Source organism: Homo sapiens, chromosome 2 (assembly GCF_000001405.40).
Source record: "Homo sapiens chromosome 2, GRCh38.p14 Primary Assembly".
Lineage (NCBI taxonomy): Eukaryota > Metazoa > Chordata > Mammalia > Primates > Hominidae > Homo > Homo sapiens.
The window spans coordinates 55,250,135-55,272,488 of record NC_000002.12 but is presented as its reverse complement, the minus strand read 5'-3'; the positions used below and the strand labels follow the sequence as shown (position 1 = coordinate 55,272,488).

Genomic DNA, 22,354 nt, shown 5'->3' with positions numbered 1-22,354 from the left:
TTATTTTCACCTTAATATTGTGGAAAAAAGATCTGGCAACTACTTTGATGGTTTACCAACTGATTTCTGCTTGTTTCTCAACTGCCTTGCAAGCCAAGTAAGACAGCAAAGAATTACTTCTCACAGAAATTAAACTTCAGTAGATATCTGCGAGTAGTAGGTAAAATGATAGCAGTTGGAGTAAACTTCAATAGTTTTCAACTGTTGTGCCTGTTAGGTTCAGTTAAAAAAAATTTCCAGGCCTAGCGCACTGGCTCACACCTGGAATCATAGCACTTTGGGAGGCTGAGGCGGGCAGATCACTTCAGGTCAGGAGTTCAAAACCGGCCAGGCCAATTGTACTAAAAATACAAAAAAAATTAGCCGGGCATGGAGGCAGACACCTGTAATCCCAGCTACTCTGGAAGCTGAGGCAGGAGAATCGCTTGAACCTGCGAGGCGGAGGTTGCAGTGGGCTGAGATCGTGCCATTGCACTCCAGCCTGGGTGACAGAGTGAGACTCCATCTCAAAAAAAAAAAAATGTCCAGGAGAGGAGTTTGCATTAAATCATTCAGTAACACCGATTACACACCTTTGTAGTAGGCATTGGGAAAGTGGGGAAAAAAAAGAGGTTGGTAGGTTGGGATGGGGGCATGAGTTAGGAGGTAAGATGATGGTGTAGCAGGATGAGCCGCAGACAAAACCTCTCAGACACCGAGTTGTAGAAGGAAGGGCTTTATTCAGCTGGGAGCATTGGCAAGCCACTGCCTTAAAATCCGAGCTCCCTGAGTGCACAATTTCTGTCCCTTTTAAGGGTTCACAACACTAAAGATTTCACATGAAAGTGTCGTGATTGATTTGAGCAAGCAAGGGGTACGTGACAGGGGCTGCATGCACCGGTGGTCAGAGACAAACAGAACAGGGCAGGGAGTTTCACAATGTTCTATACAATGTCTGGAATCTATGAATAACATCGGTTTCTAGGTTATGAGTTGATTTTTATTTTATTTATTTATTTATTTATTTATTTATTTATTTATTTATTTTGAGACGGAGTCTCGCTCTGTCACCCAGGCTGGAGTGCAGTGGCGCCATCTCGGCTCACTGCAAGCTCCGCCTCCCAGGTTCACGCCATTCTCCTGCCTCAACGTCCCAAGTAGCTGGGACTACAGGCACCCGCCACCACACCCGGCTAATTTTTTTTAATATATATTTAGTAGAGACGGGGTTTCACCGTGTTAGCCAGGGTGGTCTCGATCTCCTGACTTCGTGATCCACCCGCCTCGGCCTCCCAAAGCGCTGGGATTACAGGCGTGAGCCACTGCGCCCAGCCTGAGTTGATTTTTAACTACTGGGTTTAGGCCAGGCAGAGCCAGGCCTGGTTTTGGGCCTGGCGCCGGACTGCCTGTCTTTGATTTCACTTCTTTTTTCTCTCTTAAAACAGGTACTGAGTATAAAACAATATAAAACAATATGAGAGGGTCTCTCTCTTCCCTCAATGGCAAGTATGCTTTTGAGTAATGAACTTCTGTACCATACCAATTACCCAGGGGAGTGGTAGATCTTAAAGACAAAGATTAATTGATTGATTTTGTTTTCTTCTCAAATTCCTTTTACCAAAAGACAGAGATAATAAAACAATATTTATATTTGAGAGGTGGTGATGGTTGTGGTCAAAACGACCAGCTGAAAGTCATAATGTCCAAGCAAGATGAGGGAAAGCTCTGGGGGCAGGCAGTAATAACCATAACAGCAAACACATACTATGAACCAGGCACTACTTATCAACAGTTTATCAACCCATTAAAAGCTTATTGCAGCCGGGCGTGGTGGCTCATGCCTGTAATCCCAGCACTTTGGGAGGCTTAGGTGGGCAGTCACCTGAGGTCAGGAGTTCGAGACCAGCTTGGCCAACATGGTGAATTAGTGAGGCATGGTGATGTGCCCCTGTAATCTCAGCTACGCGGGAGGCTGAGGCGGGAGAATCACTTGAACCCAGGAAGCGGAGTTTGGTTGCAATGAGCCGAGATCGCGCCATTGTGCTCCAGCTTGGGCGACAGAGTGACACTGTCTCAAAAAAAACAAAAAACAGTCTGGGAGAGGTGGCTAACGCCTGTCATCCCAGCACTTTGGGAGGCCGATGTGGGCGGATCATCTGAAATAGGGAATTCGAGACCAGCCTGACCAACATGGAAAAACCCTGTCTCTACAAGAAACACAAAATTAGCCAGGAGTGGTGGCACATGCCTGTAATCCCAGCTACTCGGGAGGCTGAGGCAGGAGAATCGCTTGAACCCGGGAGGCAGAGGTTGCGGTGAGCTGAGATCGTGCCATTGCACTCCGGCCTGGGCAACAAGAGCGAAACTCCATCTCAAAAACAAATAGAAACAAAAACACAACAAAAACCTTATTACAATCCTGTGAACTAGCTACTGTCATTACTATAATGTAGATGAACAAACTGGGACATGGACAGTTGACAAAACATTCCCAACCACACACTAGGAATGAGCTGGGATAGGAAACCAGGCACTCTGGCTCTATTACTCCTAATGCCATACACACGAGCTGACTTAGGAGAAAACAGAAAGTACTGTTCGCACAATACTAACTGGTTCTACCGCCACTGTTCGCTTGCATTTGTTTTTTCCTTCTTGTTAGGAACACGTATCTTTGAAGGAGGTATCATTTCTCCCACAATTCTCCATTTAACGTTTCCTACAGTGTTAAGCACCACCGAGGCCTCTCATAGCCCCAGAGAAGAAGTAATTTGCTTCCTAGAAATCCTCACTGTATCCAGATTCCCTCCCAGAGGAGCCATCAGTTCTCATGGGTGGCACTTTTTCTCCAGCTGATTACACTTTTTTTCTGTACCAGTTAATTTTTCCAACTTCTAATTGAATAAAGGCAGTTTTCTTAAAAAAAAAAAAAAGAGAAAGAAAAACGGAAAGGAAGGAAGAGGAAAGGAAGGAAGAAATGAAGAAAGGAAGGAAGGAAAGAAAGGAGAGGGACAGAAAGAAAAAAAGGAAAGAGAGAAAGAAAGGAAAGGAAAGTAAGAAATGGAAGGGACCTGCAGAAACGATTCACCACGCGCGGCTGACCCTGGGAGGAGCCACAGGTTGAACCAGCGCCTCCCAGGCTGGACGCCCGCCGCGGACACCGCAGACAGTCCCACCCCCAGCGGCGACAGCAACTCTCTGAATTCCGGAAAGAACCTTTTCCAGCGGGACCGGAAGCCCGGCGGGGACCGTAGCGGGGACGGACTGACCTACCGACCATTCTTCCGGGTCCAGAAGGTGATCTCCGCCCGTGCTCAGAATCCAGGGGCCCGGGGCTGTAGGTAGGAGTTAAGTGGGTAGGATCCCTTAACCAGGGTTGTCCGGTGCAGGTGGTGTGTGTTGTTTCGCCTAACGTGTCAGTGGCACAAATCACGCGAACTTCATAAACATTGTGCGTTCGGAAGCCTTTCCAAGATGCATTTAATCCCTGCGTGAGCCCACGTTAGGCATTCACGAAGGCATGTGCACTGTTCTCTCGGAAGCGGCTGGCCGGCTTCCCCTCCTCGCGCGCGGCTGTGGGTGCAGGTCCTCACTTCCCAGCCTCCCATGGGCCCAAGGCCTTCTGGGCTCCAATTTGAGGCGAGCCACCCCAGATCCGTAATTTTTCTGCAGTGATTTATTTTTACCTTTCTGGTAAGTTCCAAAGCTTCCAGCTCACATTCAGACGTTTTCCCTAACGCAACTACGTATTTGCAACATACTTTTTTCAGATTCCTTGACAAGGATATCCTAGCGGCGAAACAACACCGTACTGGGAGTCAGAACGTCTGGGTTCTAGTCTTGACTGCCATTAACTAGCGGTATGACATTGGAGAAGCTTTTTTGACCCTTCTGGATTTCCGTTTCCTTTTCTGTAAAATGAGGAGCTTGGAGTAAGTGACAAGTTTCCTTCCAGTTTTGACATTTGGGTTATTGCCTCCAATGTGTCTTTCCAGTTCCTGCCTCAATTACATATCTGTGCTTTGGTTAATATCTCGTAGGGTCCTTCCTCCCACTCCATTAATCTGTGCTCTTCTCAAATCTGGTTTCATACTGATTTAAAAATTATTTTCTCAAGGAATCCTGTGTTACCTGAGCACTCTACTTCTTGGTCCAGGGGCACAAACGTAAATAAGATATTTTCCATGTGCCATTCTTAGAAGTATTTAATGTGTGTAAATACTATTGAATGAATTTCCAAATCTTCTTTTTTTTTTCTTTAGACAGAGTCTCACTGTCGCCCAGGCTGGAGTGCAGTGGCCTGATCTCGGCTCACTGCAGTCTCTGCCTCCTGGGTTCAAGCGATTCTCCTGCCTCAGCCTCCCAAGTCGCTGGGATTACAGGCGCCCGCCACCGTACCCGGCTAATTTTTGTACTTTTAGTAGAGAGGGGGTTTCACCATGTTGGCCAGGCTGGTCTCGAACTCCTGACCTCAGGTGATCCGCCCGCCTCGACCTCCCAAAGTGCTAGGATTACAGGCATGAGCCATCACGCCCAGCCTGAATTTCTAAATCTTAATGTGTTTATTTCGTTGGCATTAAGTTAGATTTTTCCTTGATCTTTACTCGAATAAGCCTTTTAAGGTAAAATGCTTGCTCGATTACACACACATACACAACCTCATAATTGTCCGAAGGTAAACAAGTTAATGACTTGTGAATATTTTTAACTTATAAGCAATGAATCCTCAAAGCTTATAAGCGAGTATCAAGACATGTGATATGGTTTTAAAATAGCTGATGATAAAGTATATACATCATCTCATTTTCTCCTCTTAGTCTTGTAATAGGAAGGACAGATATTCAAACACTTATTTATTTATTTATTTTTAACAGAGATCCGGAAAATGAGGCCCATAGGAAACAAGTGACTTGCTGAGTCCAGATAACACTGACTGTCAGAGTGAGTGTCCACCTAAGGTTCCTTTGTTGCCTAATAAGATACTTTCTTTGCTATACTGTACTTGTTTCTGTTATCATTTCTTTTCTTTCTTTTAAAAAATATTCAGTATAGGCCAGGCGCGGTGGCTCACGCCTGTAATCCCAGCACTTTGGGAGGCCAAGGCGGATAGATCACCTGAGGTCAGGAGTTCAAGACCAGCCTGGCCAACACGGTGAAACCCCGTCTCTACTAAAAATACAAAATAATTAGCCGGGTGTGCTGGCAGGCACCTGTAATCCCAGCGACTTGGGAGGCTGAGGCAGGAGAATCCCCTGAACCCAGCAGGTGGAGGTTGTAGTGAGCCAAGATCACGCCATTGCACTCCAGCCTGAGCGATGAGCAAAACTCCATCTCAAAAAAAAAAATTCAGTATATTCTATTTACCATGTCAGAACCATACATTTACTATGTCAGAACCATAAAATACACTTTGGGAAGATTGGTTGAAATGTAACATTTAGGCTAGGCGTGGTGGCTCACGCCTGTAATCCCAGCACTTTGGGAGGCTGAGACAGGTGGATCACCTGAGGTCAGGAGTTTGAGACTAGCCTGGCCAACATGGTAAAACCCGGTGTCTACTAAAAATACAAAAATTAGCCTGACACGGTGGCACACACCTGTAGTTCAAGCTACTTGGGAGGCTAAGGCTGGAGAAAATTGCTTGAACCCAGGAGGCAGAGGTTGCAGTGGGCTGAGATCACACCACTGAACTCCACCCTGGGCAACAGAGCGAGACTCCATCTGAAAAAAAAAAAAAAAAAAAAAAGAATGAAATGTAGCATTTAATGCCTAGTTATCTAGCAAAGATCACCCGTCCAGAGCCTTAATTTCTTTGGTCACATCAAATAACTATTATCATTTGTGAACAATTTTAAAGACTATCTAGTAGAAAATATAAATATATTTATATAATATATATGTTGTATATAAATATAAAATATAAGCATATTGTAGAAATGCCATATTATGAGATAAATCATTAAAAAAAAATTTTTTTTTTTTTTGAGACAGAGTCTCGCTCTGTCTCCCCGGCTGGAGTGCAGTGGCGTGATCTTGGCTCACTGCAACCTCTGTCTCCCGGGTTCAAGAAATTCTCCTGCCTCAGCCTCCCAAGTAGCTGGGACTACAGGCATGTGCCACCACGCCCAGGTAATTTTTTTGTATTTTTAATAGAGACGGGGTTTCACCATGTCGGTCAGGCTGGCGTCGAACTCCTGACCTCAAATGATCTGCCTGCCTTGGCCTCCCACAGTGCTGAGATTACAGGCATGAGCCACTGCGCCTGGCCAAAAATTTTAAGGCTTTGTAAAAGTTTATAATTTTGTTCAAGATAGCTTTATATGGTTAAGGTAAACGCATTGAAATAGTTCATAATTTCCATTCTTTTTTTTTTGTAATGCTGAAGAATATATGTGTCTCTCAGTATCTATGGGGCATTGGTTCCAGGACCCCCGCTGCCGCATGCCAAAATTTACAGATGTCCAAGTTCCTTATATAAAATGGCGTATATTTACATGTAACCTAAGCACATACCATTGTATACTTCATGTCATCTCTAGATTACTTATGATACCTAATACAAAGCAAATACTATGTAAACAGTATACTTTAGGGAATAATGACAAGGAAAAAGGTGTACATATTCAGTAGAGACAGAACCATCTTTTTAAAAAATTAAAAAAATTTTCGATCCACAATTGTTTGAATCCACAAATGTGGAACACATGGATACAAAGGGCTGATTAGTAATGTTTAATGATATAAAATAATATTCACAATGTATTCTTTAGTGTAAAAAGTTGTAAAACAAAATTAATATGACCTTATTTTTGTGAGTAAAATAGATAAAAGCACAAAGAAAAGAGTTGAAAATATATATATTAAAATGTTAACTAAAGTTATTTTTGAGTAGTGAGTAAAAGAAAATCTATACTGAAGAGTCTAAAAGGCTATACCCACTACTTGGAAATGTACTCTCCATTGAAAAGCAAACAGACAAACAAAAAAAACCTTAAAATGACTTTACAATTTATAGAAATAATTTTGCATATTATTGCAATGAAAACACGACCCTAGGTTATAATCAGTCATCATAGGTAGTGTCTCGTGTGCCTGAGATTCATTGTATTGGCAAGCTTGCTTTAACGACAATGAACTGTTTGTGGAATGGAACCTGGCTTATTAAACTTTGAATCAACAATATCAAGCAGAAAGCCTGGCATATGGTACTTAGGAAATGTTTCCTAAGAAGAAAACATGTTCTTCTTCATTTTTTTTTTTTTTTTCAAGACAGAGTTTTGTTCTTGTCGTCCAGGCTAGAGTGCAATGGCATGATCTCGGCTCACTGCAACCTCGACCTCCCGGGTTCAAGTGATTCTCCTGCCTCAGCCTTCTGGGTAGCTGGGATTGCAGGCGCCCGCCACCATGTCCGGCTGATTTTTGTATTTTTAGTAGAGACAGGGTTTCACGACGTTGGCCAGGCTAGTCTCGAACTCCTGACCTGAGGTGATCCGCCCACCTCGGCCTCCCAAAGTGCTGGGATTACAGGCATGAGCCACCACACCCAGCTGGAAAACATGTTCTTTTTACGTTGTTTTTGTCGTTCCTGTCCTTAAAAACTGAAAAGCAAAGCCATAGAAATGCAGTCTTGAGAGCAGAGGCAATAGAGGCCACGGGGAGGAAAAGAACTATATTACTAATGAGTTCTGTTACAGTTTTTTCTCAAAAAAACTCTTCTTTTATTCTAAGAATAATACTCAAAAGGCATTATTCAATAAATATTGGGTGTCTTCTTCCTACTATAAAGCATCTTTTTTTAGGGGGTGAGATGGGAAGATGGAAAAGTGTTAAGAGTTCAAAGACGATTCCAACTAGAGGAAGTGTGTGCAAAGTTTCAGAGCTGAGATGAGAAACCATTAGAGATGACAGGTGGGTTACAATAACAAAAGCTTGAGAGGTAGGAGTGTAGAGACTCTAAGAGTGTAAGAAATAAAGTAAGGCTGGGCATGGTGGCTCATGCCTGTAATTTCAACACTGTGGGAGGCCAAGGTGGATCACTAGATCCCGGGAGTTTGAGACTAACCTAGACAATGTGGTGAAACACCATCTCTACCAAAAAAACAAACAAAAAATTATCTGGGCATAGTGGTGCGCACCTCTAGTCCCAGCTATTAGGGAGGCTGAGGTGAGAGCATCACCTTAGCCTGGGAGGTCGAGGCTGCAATGAGCTGTGACCATACCACTGCATTCCAGCCTCCAGCCTGGATGATAGAGTGAGACCCGGTTTCAAAAAAGAAGTTTCAGGGTGTTTAACAGAAATGTTATCATTTGGAATTCGCACTTTAGAAACATTACTCTAGTTGTGATTTGGTTAGTTGATATTTCAAGAGTGAAAAAAGAGCCTTTTACAAGTTGTTATTGTATTTCAATTCTATCATAGTGGTAACATTAACAGTAATAATAATAGCTAGTATTTAGAGAGTACTTGTTATGGAATCCCATCTCTTGATGAGACTGAGATTTTTCAGGGCAGGAACCCAGTTTTACTCATTGTTGTAAGTCTAGTGAGCTAAGTGTAGTCCAGTGCTATGCATATAGTAAATATCCAATTAATATTTGCTAACTTGATTTGAATATTATTTTAAAACCTTTTTTTTTTCCCCAGGAGAAACATGAACCAGAAGCTACTGAAGTTGGAGAACTTGCTACGATTTCACACTATTTATAGGCAACTGCACAGTCTGTGTCAAAGAAGAGCATTAAGACAGTGGAGGCATGGGTTTTCATCTGCTTACCCTGTGTGGACAGCTCAACTGTGTGCCTGGCCCTGGCCAACAGATGTGCTCACTGGGGCTGCTTTATCTCAGTATAGGCTTCTAGTAACAAAAAAGGTAGTTACAGATTTCTTTTTTTTTTTTTTTGAGATGGAGTCTCACCCTGTCACCCCGGCTGGAGTGCCGTGGCGCGATCTCAGCTCACCGCAACCTACGCCTCTTGGGTTTAAGCAATTCTCCTGCCTCAGCCTCCTGAGTAGCTGGGGTTACAGGCATTAGCCACCGCACCCGCTATAGTTACAGATTTCTGTAAGTTATTTTATTACTCGGTCTAAAATGAAAGTGCCTAGAACCATGAGTACAAATCCATTTTGAGTAATTTATCATTTACAGAATATTTATTACTTAATGCAATAAAGTATTACTCCAAGCAATAGAGCTTTGTGAGAAAGGGAAGTTCCGGTTAATTGTGTGGTGCTGATGAATTTGGTTCCTTGGAAATCAGTGTAAAACAGTGAATTAAGGATACAGGATTTTAATTTTAGCTTAAGGTTTAACTACTTATGGGAGTGTTCGTTGGTAGAAATAGTAGCTATGGCCGGATGTGGTGGCTCACGCCTGTAATCCCAGCACTTTGGGAGGCCAAGGTGGGCAGATCACAAGGTCAAGAGTTCGAGACCGTCCTGGCCAACATGGTGAAACCCCATCACTACTAAAAATACAAAAATTAGGCCAGGTGTGGTGGCTCACGCCTGTAATCACGGCTCTTTGGGAGGCTAAGGCAGGCGGATCACAAGATCAAGAGTTCAAGACTAGCCTGGCCAACATGGCGAAACCCTGTTTCTACTGAAAATACAAAAATTAGCCAGGCATGGTGGCGCATGCCTGTAGTCCCAGCTACTCAGGAGGCTGAGGCAGGAGAAGCGCTTGAACCTGGGAGGTGGAGGTTTCAGTGAGCCGAAATTGTGCCACTGCACTCCAGCCTGGGCAACAGAGTTAGACTCTGTCTCAAAACAAAACAAAAAACAAAAAAAAAAAATACAAAAATTAGCTGGGCTTGGTGGTGCACACCTGTAATCCCAGCTACTGGGGAGGCTGAGGCAGGAGAATGGCTTGAACCCAGTAGGCAGAGATTGCAGTGAGCTGAGATTGTGCAACTGCACTCCAGCCTGGGTGACAGAGCAAGAGTCTGTCTCAAAAAAAAAAAAAAAAAAAGAAAAAAAAAGAAAGAAATGTAGCTATGATTGTGGTAGATATTTGAGAATAAATCTAAATTGTCACTTAAGTTTTTTCTTCCTTTTTGTTTATATGTTCTGATTTTTTTAATAGGAAGAAGGACCATGGAAATCTCAGTTATCTTCAACAAAATCTAAAAAGGTGGTAGAAGTATGGATTGGAATGACTATTGAGGAACTGGCCAGGGCAATGGAAAAAAACACAGGTGAGTCAGATATTTTTACAAAGCAAAATATGGGAATGTTGGAAGACCGGGCATTTTATTTGCAACGAGATTAAGGCATTGAAAGATTAAAAACTAGACTGGCACTTAAAAAATATATTAAGTCATTGTAATATTCTTCACTTTAAGTCATAATCCCTAGTTAGTTTCTTGACTGCCAAATGTAGTTCTCCAAGATTTTGCTTTTAATTAAAGTGGAAAAGATTTTCTTATACGAATTAAGTTTTCTTTCTCGGAAGTTTTGTGGGCTATTAGAATAAATCCAAAGAATGTTTTTAGACTGAGGGGCTATACTTATATACTTTCTCTTTTTGTTTTTCTATAATTTTCTTTTTTCTTTCTTTTTTTTTTTTTTTGGTTTTTTTTTTTGAGACAGGGTCTTGCTTTGTCCAGTATAGTGGCATGATCATGGCTCACTGCAGCCTTGGCCTCCTAGACTCAAAACAATCGTTCAGCCTCAGCCTCCTGAGTAGCTGGGACTACAGGCATGTGCCACTATGCCCAGCTAATTTTTTATTTTTTGTAGAGACAGAGTCTCACTATGTTGTCTAGGCTGGTCTTGAACTCCTGGGTGCAAGTAATCCTTCTGCCTCAACCTCCCAAAGTGCTGGGATTATAGGTATGAGCCACCACGCCTGGCCCTATAATTTTCTGATTTCCTTTTTTTCACTCTTTTTATTATTATTTTTTGAGATGGAGTTTCACTCTCGTTGCCCAGGCTGGAGTGCAGTGGCACGATCTCGGCTCCCTGCAACCTCCGCCTCCCAGGTTCAAGTGGTTCTCCTGCCTCAGCCTCCTGAGGAGCTGGGATTACAGGTGCCCACAACCACGCCCGGCTAATTTTTTTTTTTTTTAGTAGAGACGGGGTTTCACCATGTTGGCCAGGCTTGTCTCAAATTCCTGACCTCAAGTGATCTGCCTGCCTCGGCCTCCCAGAGTGATGGGATTAGGGGCGTGATCCCACCATGCCCAGCCTTTTCTCTCATTTTGACAATATCTGTAAGGCCAGCAGAGAAATACTGGTAGTAGCCAGGCACGGTGGCTCACGCCTGTAATTCCAACACTTTGGGAGGCTAGGTCAGGAGATCGAGACCATCCTGTCTAACACGGTGAAACCCCATCTCTACTAAAAATACAAAAAAAATTAGCTGGGCCTAGTGGCGGGCGCCTGTAGTCCCAGCTACTCGGGAGGCTGAGGCAGGAGAATGGCGTGAACCGTGGAGGCGGAGCTTGCAGTGAGCCGAGATCGCGCCACTGCACTCTACCCTGGACGACAGAGCGAGACTCCATCTTAAAAAAAAAAAAGAAATACTGGTAGTAATAACTACAACTTCTCATAATATTATTTTTATTTATAAATGGAGCATATTATTGTCATTTTTATATTCCTTCATTGTGATGTGCTTATTACCAATTTAGGATTTTTGAAACAAAATTTGAGTTTTCATTATAAAGTGATATTAAAATTCAGTATATGAGAAATACCCTGTTATTGTAACAAAGTGTAACAGACTCTTGGGGAAAAAAAGAATTAATAGTGACTCATATATGTTGAGCTGTCACAATGCCCTAAAGTTAGGTATCCTTATTTACAGGCTGGGAAGGTGAGGTTTAGAGAGGATAAGTAATTACCCACTATTTCCAGCTAGTTTGTGGGAGAGCCAGGATTTGAACCTAGGGAATATGGGGAATATTTGAACCTATGGAATATGGCTCCAGAGCACATGCTGTTACTCATCAACCACATTATCTTTCAATAATTATTTTGTAAATCACAGCAATGCTAAACTTCAATGTGTTTCCTGCCTGAAAGTGTTACTACTTTTTGTGCATGTACATCCTTACAAAGAGTACAAAATTGTTAGCACACTGTTTGGCTTTTTTTTTTTTTTTTTTTGAGACAGAGTTTCACTCTTGTTAACCAGGCTAGAGTGCAATGGCACTATCTCGGCTTGCTGCAACATCTGCCTCCTGGGTTCAAGCAATTCTCCTGTCTCAAGCCTCCCGAGTAGCTGGGATTACAGGCATGTGCCACCACGCCCGGCTAATTTTGTATTTTTAGTAGAGACGGAGTTTCTCCATGTTGGTCAGGCTGGTCTCGAACTCCCGACCTCAGGTGATCCGCCCACCTCGGCCTCCCAAAGTGCTGAGATTACAGGCGTGAGCCACCATCCCTGGCCTGTTTGGCATTTTTAATAATTTTGCAGATGGATTATTCAGTCATTTTATAGCTAGAAAACTTTGAAAATAAATGAATATGGCTATGTCATTCAGAATTTTTCTAAGGAAAATTATATTGGTGTGGCTTTATAAATAGTATTGATAATAGGCTTGATTTTTAAAACTTTTTTTTTGAAGCAGAGTCTTGCTCTGTCACCCAGGCTGGAGTGCAGTGGCAGGATCCTGGCTTACTGCAACTCCTGCCTCCCCAGTTCAAGCAATTCTTGTGCCTCAGCCTCCTAAGTAGCTAGGATTACAGGCATATGCCACCACACCCAGCTAATATTTGTATTTTTAGTAGAGACAGAGTTTCACTATGTGGGCCGGGCTGGTCTTGAACTCCTGACCTCAAGTGATCTGCACATCTTAGCCTTCCAAATGCTAGGATTATAGGCGTGAGCCACTGCGCCTGGCAAAACTTTTTATTATTAGCAATTATCAGACAAATATGGTAGCAGAAAGAATGGAATAAGCTTAAATGTATGCATAAGTCAGTGACAACAGATATTTTATTTTATCCATAAATACTTCAGTATGTATCTCTAAAAGATGAGGACTCCTTTTTTTTTTTTTAAACATTACCCCCTACCCCTATACACATAGAGGAACCCATAACCATAATTCTTTATTATGACTAATAAATAGAATGATTAAAATACAAATTTAGTCTCATGGAGCAGTACTCTAAACCCCAAACTGATTGTCTATGATGAAAATAAATGTGTCTATTTGAAGCTTATTTCATATTCAAATCTCTTCTGAATTAAAGATAGTTTTCATGAGGTAATTATTTTTAACTACTATATACATTAGCGATATGAGTACATTTATTCCCTCTTCTCCTGGGTCAGTTAAGTAGCTTGATGTACTATTTCTTGTTGCAATATGTTGGACACTTTTCTACATGTAAATATTTATTTAAGTCTTGGATAAAATTAAAATAGTATGTTAATACCATATGCATTTAACACAGAGGGGAAATGATTATCTCTCTGTGTAAGCTACCTCTCAAAAGTTCAGTATAATGTATTGGAAAACTAGAGTATTAGGTATTGTTACCATTATTAGAAATAGAATTGTGCTCATAATTTTTTTTTTGAACAGAGTTTCACTCTTGTTGTGCAGGCTGGAGTGCAATGGCATGATCTTAGCTCACTGCAACCTCCACCTCTCAGGTTCAAGCAATTCTCCTGCTTCAGCCTCCTGAATAGCTGGGATTACAGGTGCCTAACATGCCTGGCTAATTTTTTTTTTTTTTTTTTTTTTGAGACAGAGGCTTGCTCTGTCACCTAGTCTGGAGTGCAGTGATACGATCTCAGCTCACTGCAACATCTGTCTCCCGGGTTCAAGCAATTCTCCTGCCTCAGCCTCCCGAGTAGCTGGGACTACAGGCATGTGCCACCACGCCTGGCTAATTTCTGTATTTTTATTAGAGACGAGGTTTCAGCATGTTGGTCTGGCTGGTCTCAAACTCCTGACCTCAGGTGATCCACCCACCTTAGCCTCCCAAAGTTCTGGGATTACAGACGTGAGCTACTGCGCCCAGCCGCCTTGCTAATTTTTGTATTTTTGGTAGAGATGGGGTTTCACTATGTTGGTCAGGCTGGTCTCGAACTCCTGACCTCAGGTGATCCACCCACCTCGGCTTCCCAAAGTGGTGGGATTACAGGTGTGAGCCACTATGCCTGACCAACTCATAATTTTTGTTTTGAAATAGTTTTACAGTTCTCTGAGAGCATATTCACATAGTAAATTTGAGTTGTATCATTCTTAAAATGTGTTTCCTTGGGAAAGCATGTGGTAGAAAGATAAATAGGAAATCGTTTCTTGGCATTATTGTGGAGTACAATCAGTGGCTTGCTGGTGCTGGCTTGCATCAGTTTGTGAGCTTATTGCTAAATTATAAGGAATTATTTGAGCTGGTTGTTAAACACAACCATTTAAAAAAATTAAGTCACAAAGGTAGTAAAAACTCAGAAACTCACTGGCTGGGTGCGATGGCTCATGTCTGTAATCCCAGCACTTTCAGAGGCTGAGGCAAACATATCGCTTGAGCCCAAGAGTTTGAGATCAGCCTGGGCAACATGATGAAGCCTTGTCTTTACAAAAGAAATACAAAAATTAGCTGGGTATGGTGATGTGAGCCTCTAGTTCCTGCTTCTTGGGAGGCTGAGGTGGGAGGACTGCCTGGGAGGCAGAGGTTGCAGTGAGCTGAGATTGTGCCACTGCACTCCAGCCAGGGCGACAGACTGAGACCCTGCCTCAGAAAACCCCAAACAAACAAACAAAACCAACTCTTCACTTCCCAGTTATTTTATTGCATTTTACAATTACCTGTGTTCTCAAGGTTATTTATGCCTGTCATATCTATATGGTAAAAAGACTCCCAACACTGCATTCAGTGACTTTATGTTGGTAGCTTGTAATCAACCATGGTGGGCATATTTGCACCATGGAAATTGGAGAATACTGTAAATTAGAGATTTATTTTTGAGAGCATAGTTATTAAACATTTGCCAGCATACCAGTGAATAGGATGTTCTTTTAGTTTAATGTTCTGCTTATCTGAGGATGGCTTTCTTCCTTTTATTTTTTTCTTGAGATGGAGTCTCACTCTTGCCCAGGCTGGAGTGCAGTGGCGCAGTCTCAGCTCACTGCAACCTCCGCCTCCCGGGTTCAAGAGAGTCTCCTGCTTTAACCTCTGGAGCAGCTGGGATTACAGGTGCGTGCCACCATGCCCAGCTAATTTTTTGTATTTTTAATGGAGATGGGGTTTCACCATGTTGGCCAGGCTCGTCTCAAACTCCTCATCTTAGGTGATCTGCCCACCTCGGCCTCCCAAAGTGCTGGGATTATAGGTGTGAGCCACCGCACCCGGCTGCCTTCTTTCATATCTACTCTTTAAATATATTTTTATAGGGTGACTGCAAGTCTGGAACATAAAACTACTTATTTCATTATCATCACAGATACATTTATTTATCATCCGCAGGGAAACATGACTGAGATTAAAACAAAGCACATTAAATAAAATGAAAAAGAGAATAAGTAAATATTTTTCCTATATTTCAAGAGTTTTTGGTTTGGGTGCAGTAGCTTACACCTGTAATTCCAGAACTTTCGGAGGCCAAGGTGGGAGAATTGCTCGACCAGGAGTTCAAAACCAACCTGGGCAAAATGGCAAGAACCCTTCTCTACAAAAAATTAGTAGGATGTAGTGGTGGCACCTGTGGTCCCAGCTATAACGGAGGCCGAGGCAGGAGGATTGCTTGAGCCTGGGAATTTGAGGCTACTGCAGTGAGTTAGGATTGTGCCACTGCACTCTAGCCTGGGCAACAGTGTAAGACCCTGTCTCAAAAAAAATTTTTTTTTTTTTTGAGATGGAGTCTCGCTCTGTCACCCAGGCTGGAGCGCAGTGGCGTGATCTCGGCTTACTTCAACCTCTGTCTCCCGGATTCAAGCAATTCTCCTCAGCCTCCCGAGTAGCTGGGACTACAGGTGCCGCCACCATGCCCAGCTAATTTTTGTATTTTTAGTAGAGACAGGGTTTCACCATATTGGCCAGGCTGGTCTTGAACTCCTGACCTCGTGATCTGCCCGCCTCGGCCTCCCAAAGTGTTGGGATTACAGGCGTGAGCCACCGTGCCTGGCCAAAAATTTTTTTAAAATAAAAAATAAAGACTTTTTGGACACCCTAGATACATAAACAAGTAAATGAATTGCGGATACATGTATTCAGAGATATATATTGTGTGTGTGTGTGTGTGTGTGTGTGTATATGTGTGTATGTCTGTACATACTATCAGTTCTCATTATAAGTGGATTATTTATTTTAGGTGTGGATTCTGTATTTGAAAATTCACCTACTCAACAAAATGTATTTGCAGCTCAAAAATCAGTACTTGCTGGGCATGGTGGCTCATGCCTGTGATCCCAGCACTCTGGGAGGCCGAGGCAGGCGGATCACCTGAGGTCAGGAATTTGAGACCAGCCTAGCCAACATGGTGAAACCCTGTCTACAAAAAATAGAAAAATTAGCCAGGGATGGTGGCGTGCACTTGCAGTCCCAGCTACTCAGGGGGCTGAGGCAGAAGAATTGTTTGAACCTGGGAGGCAGAGGCTGCAGCTAGCCGAGATTGCCCCACTGCACTTCAGCCTGGGTAACAAAAGCGAAACTCTGTCCCAAAAAAAAAGAGAAAAAAATCAGTACTCAGGTTCTCTTGCAGTTATTATTGGACATGTGCAGAACAGTGAAAGATGTGGGTTGTCCATTGTGCATGTTCTGAAGCTGAGGTTGAATGAGGTGACACTGTTTCAGCTGTCGTACTGCAAACAAGTGTCCTTTTTGTATTCTATTTAGTGTCACTTTTTTTCACATTTTTATGCTTTTTGTTGGTAATTTTGCTGTTTAAAATGGCTCCTAAATGTGGTACTGAATTCCTATCTAGTGTTCCTAAGCCCAAGAAGGCTGTGATATGCCTTACAGAGAAAATATGCATCTCAGATAAGCTTGTTCTGGCATGAGTTATAGTGCAATTGGCCATGAGTTCAATGTTAATGAATCAAATATATATATATATAATATATGTATTTATATATAAATATTTTACATATTTGATTTATATATATATATTATACATAATATATCATATTGAGATATATAAATATATATTATATATAATACTATATATAAATATATATATAGTATCTTTAAACAGAAATGCATAAAACAAAATTATGTGTTGATCAGTTGATGAAATGTGACTAAAGGCTTGCAGGAACCCAACTCTATATTTCCCCTCAGAACAGTGGTTCAATATTTGCTAATTCAATAGTTTTGGTGACTTTATAGAACATAATTATTGCAAATAATGGCAATTGATTGTATATACACACACACATTCGTGTATACATGACATTTGTGACCTTAAATTTTTAGAGAAATAGACTACAATCAATTATTATAAATACTAAATTTATCTTAATGTTTTATTGATGATTCAGATGGCTTAGAATACATAAATATTCAAATATTTATGAATATGCGGAAAAGTCAGTTAATAGAAATGTATCATATTTTAAATAATTAAAAAACATTTTTTAGCTTCCTTGTGATTTGTTAATATTAGAGAAACAGTTTGCATAGTTATTCCTCTCATTGAGTGTACTGTTTATATAGACATTTATTAATAGAGATTACTTCTTGAGCATTTAATTAATGATCCTAAAAGGTTTTATTTTATTCCAATCAGATTATGTATATGAAGCTTTATTGAACACTGATATTGACATAGATTCACTGGAAGCAGACTCACATTTAGATGAAGTCTGGATCAAAGAAGTGATAACGAAGGCAGGGATGAAGTTAAAGTGGAGTAAATTAAAACAGGACAAAGTCAGAAAAAATAAAGATGCTGTAAGAAGGTAAAACTTAACTGTATATACTGGCAGGGTTTGGGGGAGACTACATAGTTATATTTACACTTTTTAATGGAAAGATTTGCTTTAAAATTTCTTTTGTAATAAAGATATGTGTGTATAAACTTCGAAGTACTTAAAGCATTAGAAAGTGTATTATACATTCAAGTTATTATAAAACTTTAAGGATTTTTTAAAAATTTGCTGAATGTATACATTGGTCTGAATTTTCAAATTTGATTCAGTTCTGCTCATTGTTATGAAAATGCAAACCACAGGTAGGTAGGCAGTTATTAAATAGTCTGTCATATGTATAGGAGGGGGAAATAGGTCTAATCCACACTGAATATTGGGTTTTATTGTTAATGGTAGTTCACAGGGATAAATGTGAACCAATTCACAGGCTATAAAGTATTTCTGATATTTAAGAAATGAAACTCTTTTGCTGTTAATTGTAGGCCCCAGGCAGATCCAGCTTTATTAACCCCAAGGTCCCCAGTTGTTACTATAATGGGCCATGTTGATCACGGGAAAACGACATTACTTGACAAATTTCGAAAAACTCAAGTGGCAGCAGTGGAAACTGGAGGCATCACTCAGCACATTGGTGCCTTTCTTGGTATGAACACAAATTACCTTACAATGTGCTTGGGAACCCCACTTATTTTCTTAAACTAAATGTCATAGTATGAAATATACAAATTCAAAGTACAAGAGAAGGCTAAAGCTTGCAGTCATTAGTTTGATGAAATGTAGAGCAAGTGGTTAGTAAAGCTGTGTTTTGTACTTTCTATAAGAAGAAGATTGTGTTAACTGTTAACTTTTTTTTTTTTTTTTTTCTTTTTGAGACAGAGTCTCACTCTGTCACCCAGGCTGGAGTGCAGTGGTGCAATCTTGGCTCACTGCAACCTCTGCCTCCCCAGTTCAAGCAGTTCTCCTGCCTCAGCCTCCCAAGTAGCTGGGACTACAGGTGTGCACCACCGTGCCTGGCTAATTTTTGTATTTTTAGTTGAGACAGGGTTTCCCCATGTTGGCCAGGCTGGTCTCAAACTCCTGACCTTGTGGTCCGCCTGCCTCAGCCTCCCAAAGTGTTGGGATTACAGGTGTGAGCCATCGTGCCTGGCTTAATTTTTTTGTATTTTTAGTAGAGACGGGGTTTTGCCATGTTGGCCAGGCTGGTGTCGAACCCTTGACCTCAAGTGATCTGCCCATCTTGACCTCCCAAAGTGCTAGGATTACAGGTGTGAGCCACCGCGCCTGGCTGAAAATTGTGTTAACTTTTAATTCTAGCTCATTCTTAGTTTGATTTAATGAGTCTACAATTTTTTTATTAATTATGTTTATATAACTTCCTTTGCTAGGTTGTGATAATATTGCTGATAATAATTAAATAATAGTCCCATTTACGAGCACCTAGCATGTTTCCAGTACTGTGCTGAGCACCTTATATGTTTTGTCTTTTTTATCTTGACAACAACATCATAAGGTAGGTATTAATAGTTGCACTTACAAATAAGGAAGCCGATACTTCTTCGAGTTAAGCAGCTTTCCCACAGTATATAGCCAGTAAGTAGCATAGCCAGGATTTAAACCCAAGGTCAATGGACTCAAATCGTGAGCTACTGCCTACTAAATTGCCTCTCTGTGGCTCAGGGAGTTGTGCAACTCTGATTTGCTAATGTGAGGGTGGCTGCCTGTACAACAATTGGTCTGTTCTGTCTCTAAAATAGATATATCAGTTGATACATTTATGAAAGTAGTTATGTTCTAGAATTATGGAGACTTTAGTTTGAAATTTTTACATGGAAAAAAACCCATAAGAATCTCACTGGCATTTTATCACTTTTCATTGTGAAATGATGATCTGTGTTCTGATTAAGATTAATGGAAGGAATAAAATTATTTTAAAGAATTATTGATGGTTTCTGATAATGTCGCATATATTCTTTGGTATTAAGGAAGTACATGTTTGAATCCTTGATGTTCTTGAATTTCTGTTTCCACAGTCTCTCTGCCTTCTGGGGAAAAGATAACTTTTCTTGATACTCCAGGACATGCTGCTTTCTCAGCAATGAGAGCCAGAGGTGCTCAGGTCACTGACATTGTCGTATTGGTTGTAGCTGCAGATGATGGAGTGATGAAACAAACTGTAGAATCTATTCAGCATGCCAAAGATGCACAGGGTACTGTGTGGCTGACTTAATGGATCTACTACATAAAGTCAAAGTTCTGGGGCCATTTACATATAGCTCATTTAGTCTTCACAACAATCCCAGAGTTATTATACGTGTATTACAGATAAGCCTCAAAGATAAATTGTTTTCCCACAGACTTATAACTAATAGGAAGAGTATAGCAGGATTCAACTTGGGAGTTGTGACCATAAGTACAGACCACAGGTACAATCTTTCCTCTACTATGCCCTTTTTTTTTCAACTTTTTATCATAGAAATTTTAAACAGATACAAAAGTAAGAAAAGAATAATGAAATTCGATCTATCCATCACATAAATTCATTAGGAGTTGCATAGTGGTTATATTCTGTTATTTCCTGTTAATTTATTATGTGGAATTCTTCTCTAAAGAGAAACTTTCCCTTCTGCTTTAAATAAGTTCTTATCTGATCAAATGTATAAAATTCAGACTTTTGGAAAATCACTTAACCATCTTCTCCCTTATTTCTTCATTTAAAAGTTATAATAATAAATACCCACACATGTAATTATACATTCTAGGCTGGGAGTGGGGGCTCACACCTGGAATCCCAGCACTTTGGGAGGCCGAGGCCGGTGGATCACCTGAGGTCATTGGGAGTTCGAGACCAGCCTGACCAACATGGAAAATCCCTGTCTCTACTAAAAATACAAAGTTAGCCAGGCATGGTGGCACATACCTGTAATCCCAGCTACTTGGGAGGCTGAGGCAGGAGAATCACTTGAACCCGGGAGGTGGAGGTAGTGGTGAGCCGAGATTGTGCCATTGCACTCCAGCCTGGGCAACAAAAGCGAAACTCCGTCTCAAAAAAAAGTTACACATTCGGTATATTGATTTTTATTCTGAAATGACTGTACCCCTACCCTTACTGAGAAAATGTACTCGATAAAGTGTGTCATATTACCCCCAGATTTACTGGCAAGATTTTTAAAAGGTTGGGAGTTACTGAACTAGTCCAGTTCTTTCATTTTACAGCATGAAAACTAAGACTCAGACAGCAGCCAGAACTCTCCCTAATTATATACAATTATACACTAATTTTCAGTATGTCTGCATATGGAATTTGGATCTGCTAGCTTCCAATGTTATTCTCTTTTCTTTTTAATTCCTCAAAACTGCCTTTGTATGATGTACTATGTTCTTAATGATTCTAGGGAATACATGCAAAAAGAGAGGGATAAATTTGCCAGGGATCCCATTACAAAGCAATTGGTTGAGATAGGATAACTTCATTAGATCATGCTTTGTACACCTCTTCTCTTGGTACCGGTTAAGTTCCAGCTCATCAACATAGAATGTACTTTTTCCTTTTCTTTTTTTTTTTTTTTTTTTTTTGAGACGGAGTTTTGCTCTTATTGCCCAGGCTGGAGTGCAGTGGTGCAATCTTGGCTCACTTCAACCTCCTTCTCCCAGGTTCAAGCGATTCTCCTGCCTCAGCCTCCCGAATAGCTGGGATTACAGGTGACTGCCACCACACCTGGCTAATTTTTGTATTTTTAGTAGAGATGGGGTTTTACCATGTTGGCCAGGTTGGTCTCAAACTCCTGACCTCAGGTGATCCACCCACCTCCCAAAGTCCTGGGATTACAGGTATGAGCCACCGTGCCCGGCCAGAATGTACTTTTTCGTAATAGTACGTTGTGGATTGCAAAACTTTTTTGTATCTTTTAAAATTTCTGTTTGATACCTGAGAAAATTACAGAGATGATGAAATGCAACCACAGAATTACCTCGTAGAATTTTGTGTGATTTCTCTAAAGAGAGGATATGTCTAGTGATAGTAAGTAGATTAAAAGATTGTTTGGTCCTTTCATTAAGTAAACATTTATTGAGAGCCTACTAGGTCACTGACCTAGGTGTATGAATAAATAGTATAAGTCCTAAAAGAAAATTTGTGATATTGGTACTTAGTTTTAACCTAGGATGAGATGTTGGGTTTTAACAATGAGTAAATAAACCCTGGAAAGAAGAGGCAAATGATCTAGCAGTATTGAATTGGAATCTTCCCATGATTTTTTTTTTTTTTTTGGAGATTATCTCCAGTGTACTTACTGATCTTGCTTTTAGGTTTAAGGATAGGCCTTTTTCTACCCAAAATACAGTTGACCTTTGAACATCACGGGTTTGAACTGTGTGGGTCCACTTAACACACACATTTTTTTCAACCAAACATAAATAAAACAGCATTCACAGAATTTGAAACTTCCTTACATGGCTTTTTGTACACACGATTCTGCAGGGCTGGCTGCAAGACTTGAGTATGCCGGGATTTTGGTATAGGCAGTGGTGGGGGTCCTGGAACCAATCCACC

The 22,354-nt window shown here is 41.0% G+C and overlaps 1 protein-coding gene across 22 annotated transcripts in view, besides 3 other annotated features; it reads left to right on the top strand.

Moving 5' to 3' along the window:
* Nucleotides 2,397-3,220: an enhancer, noted in NCBI's record as "H3K27ac-H3K4me1 hESC enhancer chr2:55496405-55497228 (GRCh37/hg19 assembly coordinates)". NCBI's record gives its function as "activates a minimal SCP1, AML or CMV promoter by ChIP-STARR-seq in primed H9 embryonic stem cells {active_cell/tissue: H9 hESC(primed)}" and the evidence as "EXISTENCE:reporter gene assay evidence [ECO:0000049][PMID:30033119]".
* Nucleotides 2,397-3,315: a biological region, named in NCBI's record as "H3K27ac-H3K4me1 hESC enhancer GRCh37_chr2:55496405-55497228".
* Nucleotides 3,166-3,315: an enhancer, noted in NCBI's record as "active region_15779". NCBI's record gives its function as "activates an Ori minimal core promoter by ATAC-STARR-seq in GM12878 lymphoblastoid cells {active_cell/tissue: GM12878}" and the evidence as "EXISTENCE:reporter gene assay evidence [ECO:0000049][PMID:35858748]".
* MTIF2 (mitochondrial translational initiation factor 2) overlaps nucleotides 3,241-22,354 on the top strand; it is a 32,654-nt gene continuing 13,540 nt past the window's right edge. The window contains exons 1-9 of one of the 22 annotated variants that reach the window (XM_047444423.1): nucleotides 3,241-3,276; nucleotides 3,750-3,911; nucleotides 4,854-4,920; nucleotides 5,971-6,108; nucleotides 8,624-8,849; nucleotides 10,062-10,173; nucleotides 17,664-17,835; nucleotides 18,288-18,448; nucleotides 19,836-20,012. In XM_047444423.1, coding sequence (XP_047300379.1) covers nucleotides 8,631-8,849; nucleotides 10,062-10,173; nucleotides 17,664-17,835; nucleotides 18,288-18,448; nucleotides 19,836-20,012 — 841 coding nt within the window. In that variant the 5' untranslated portion in view covers nucleotides 3,241-3,276; nucleotides 3,750-3,911; nucleotides 4,854-4,920; nucleotides 5,971-6,108; nucleotides 8,624-8,630. Of the gene's footprint in view, nucleotides 3,673-3,749; nucleotides 3,912-4,853; nucleotides 4,921-5,970; nucleotides 6,109-8,623; nucleotides 8,850-8,969; nucleotides 9,042-10,059; nucleotides 10,174-17,663; nucleotides 17,836-18,287; nucleotides 18,449-19,835; nucleotides 20,013-22,354 lie in introns of those variants that run through there. The other 21 variants (XM_017004162.3, NM_001321003.1, NM_001005369.1 and 18 more) reach the window with 21 other exon arrangements.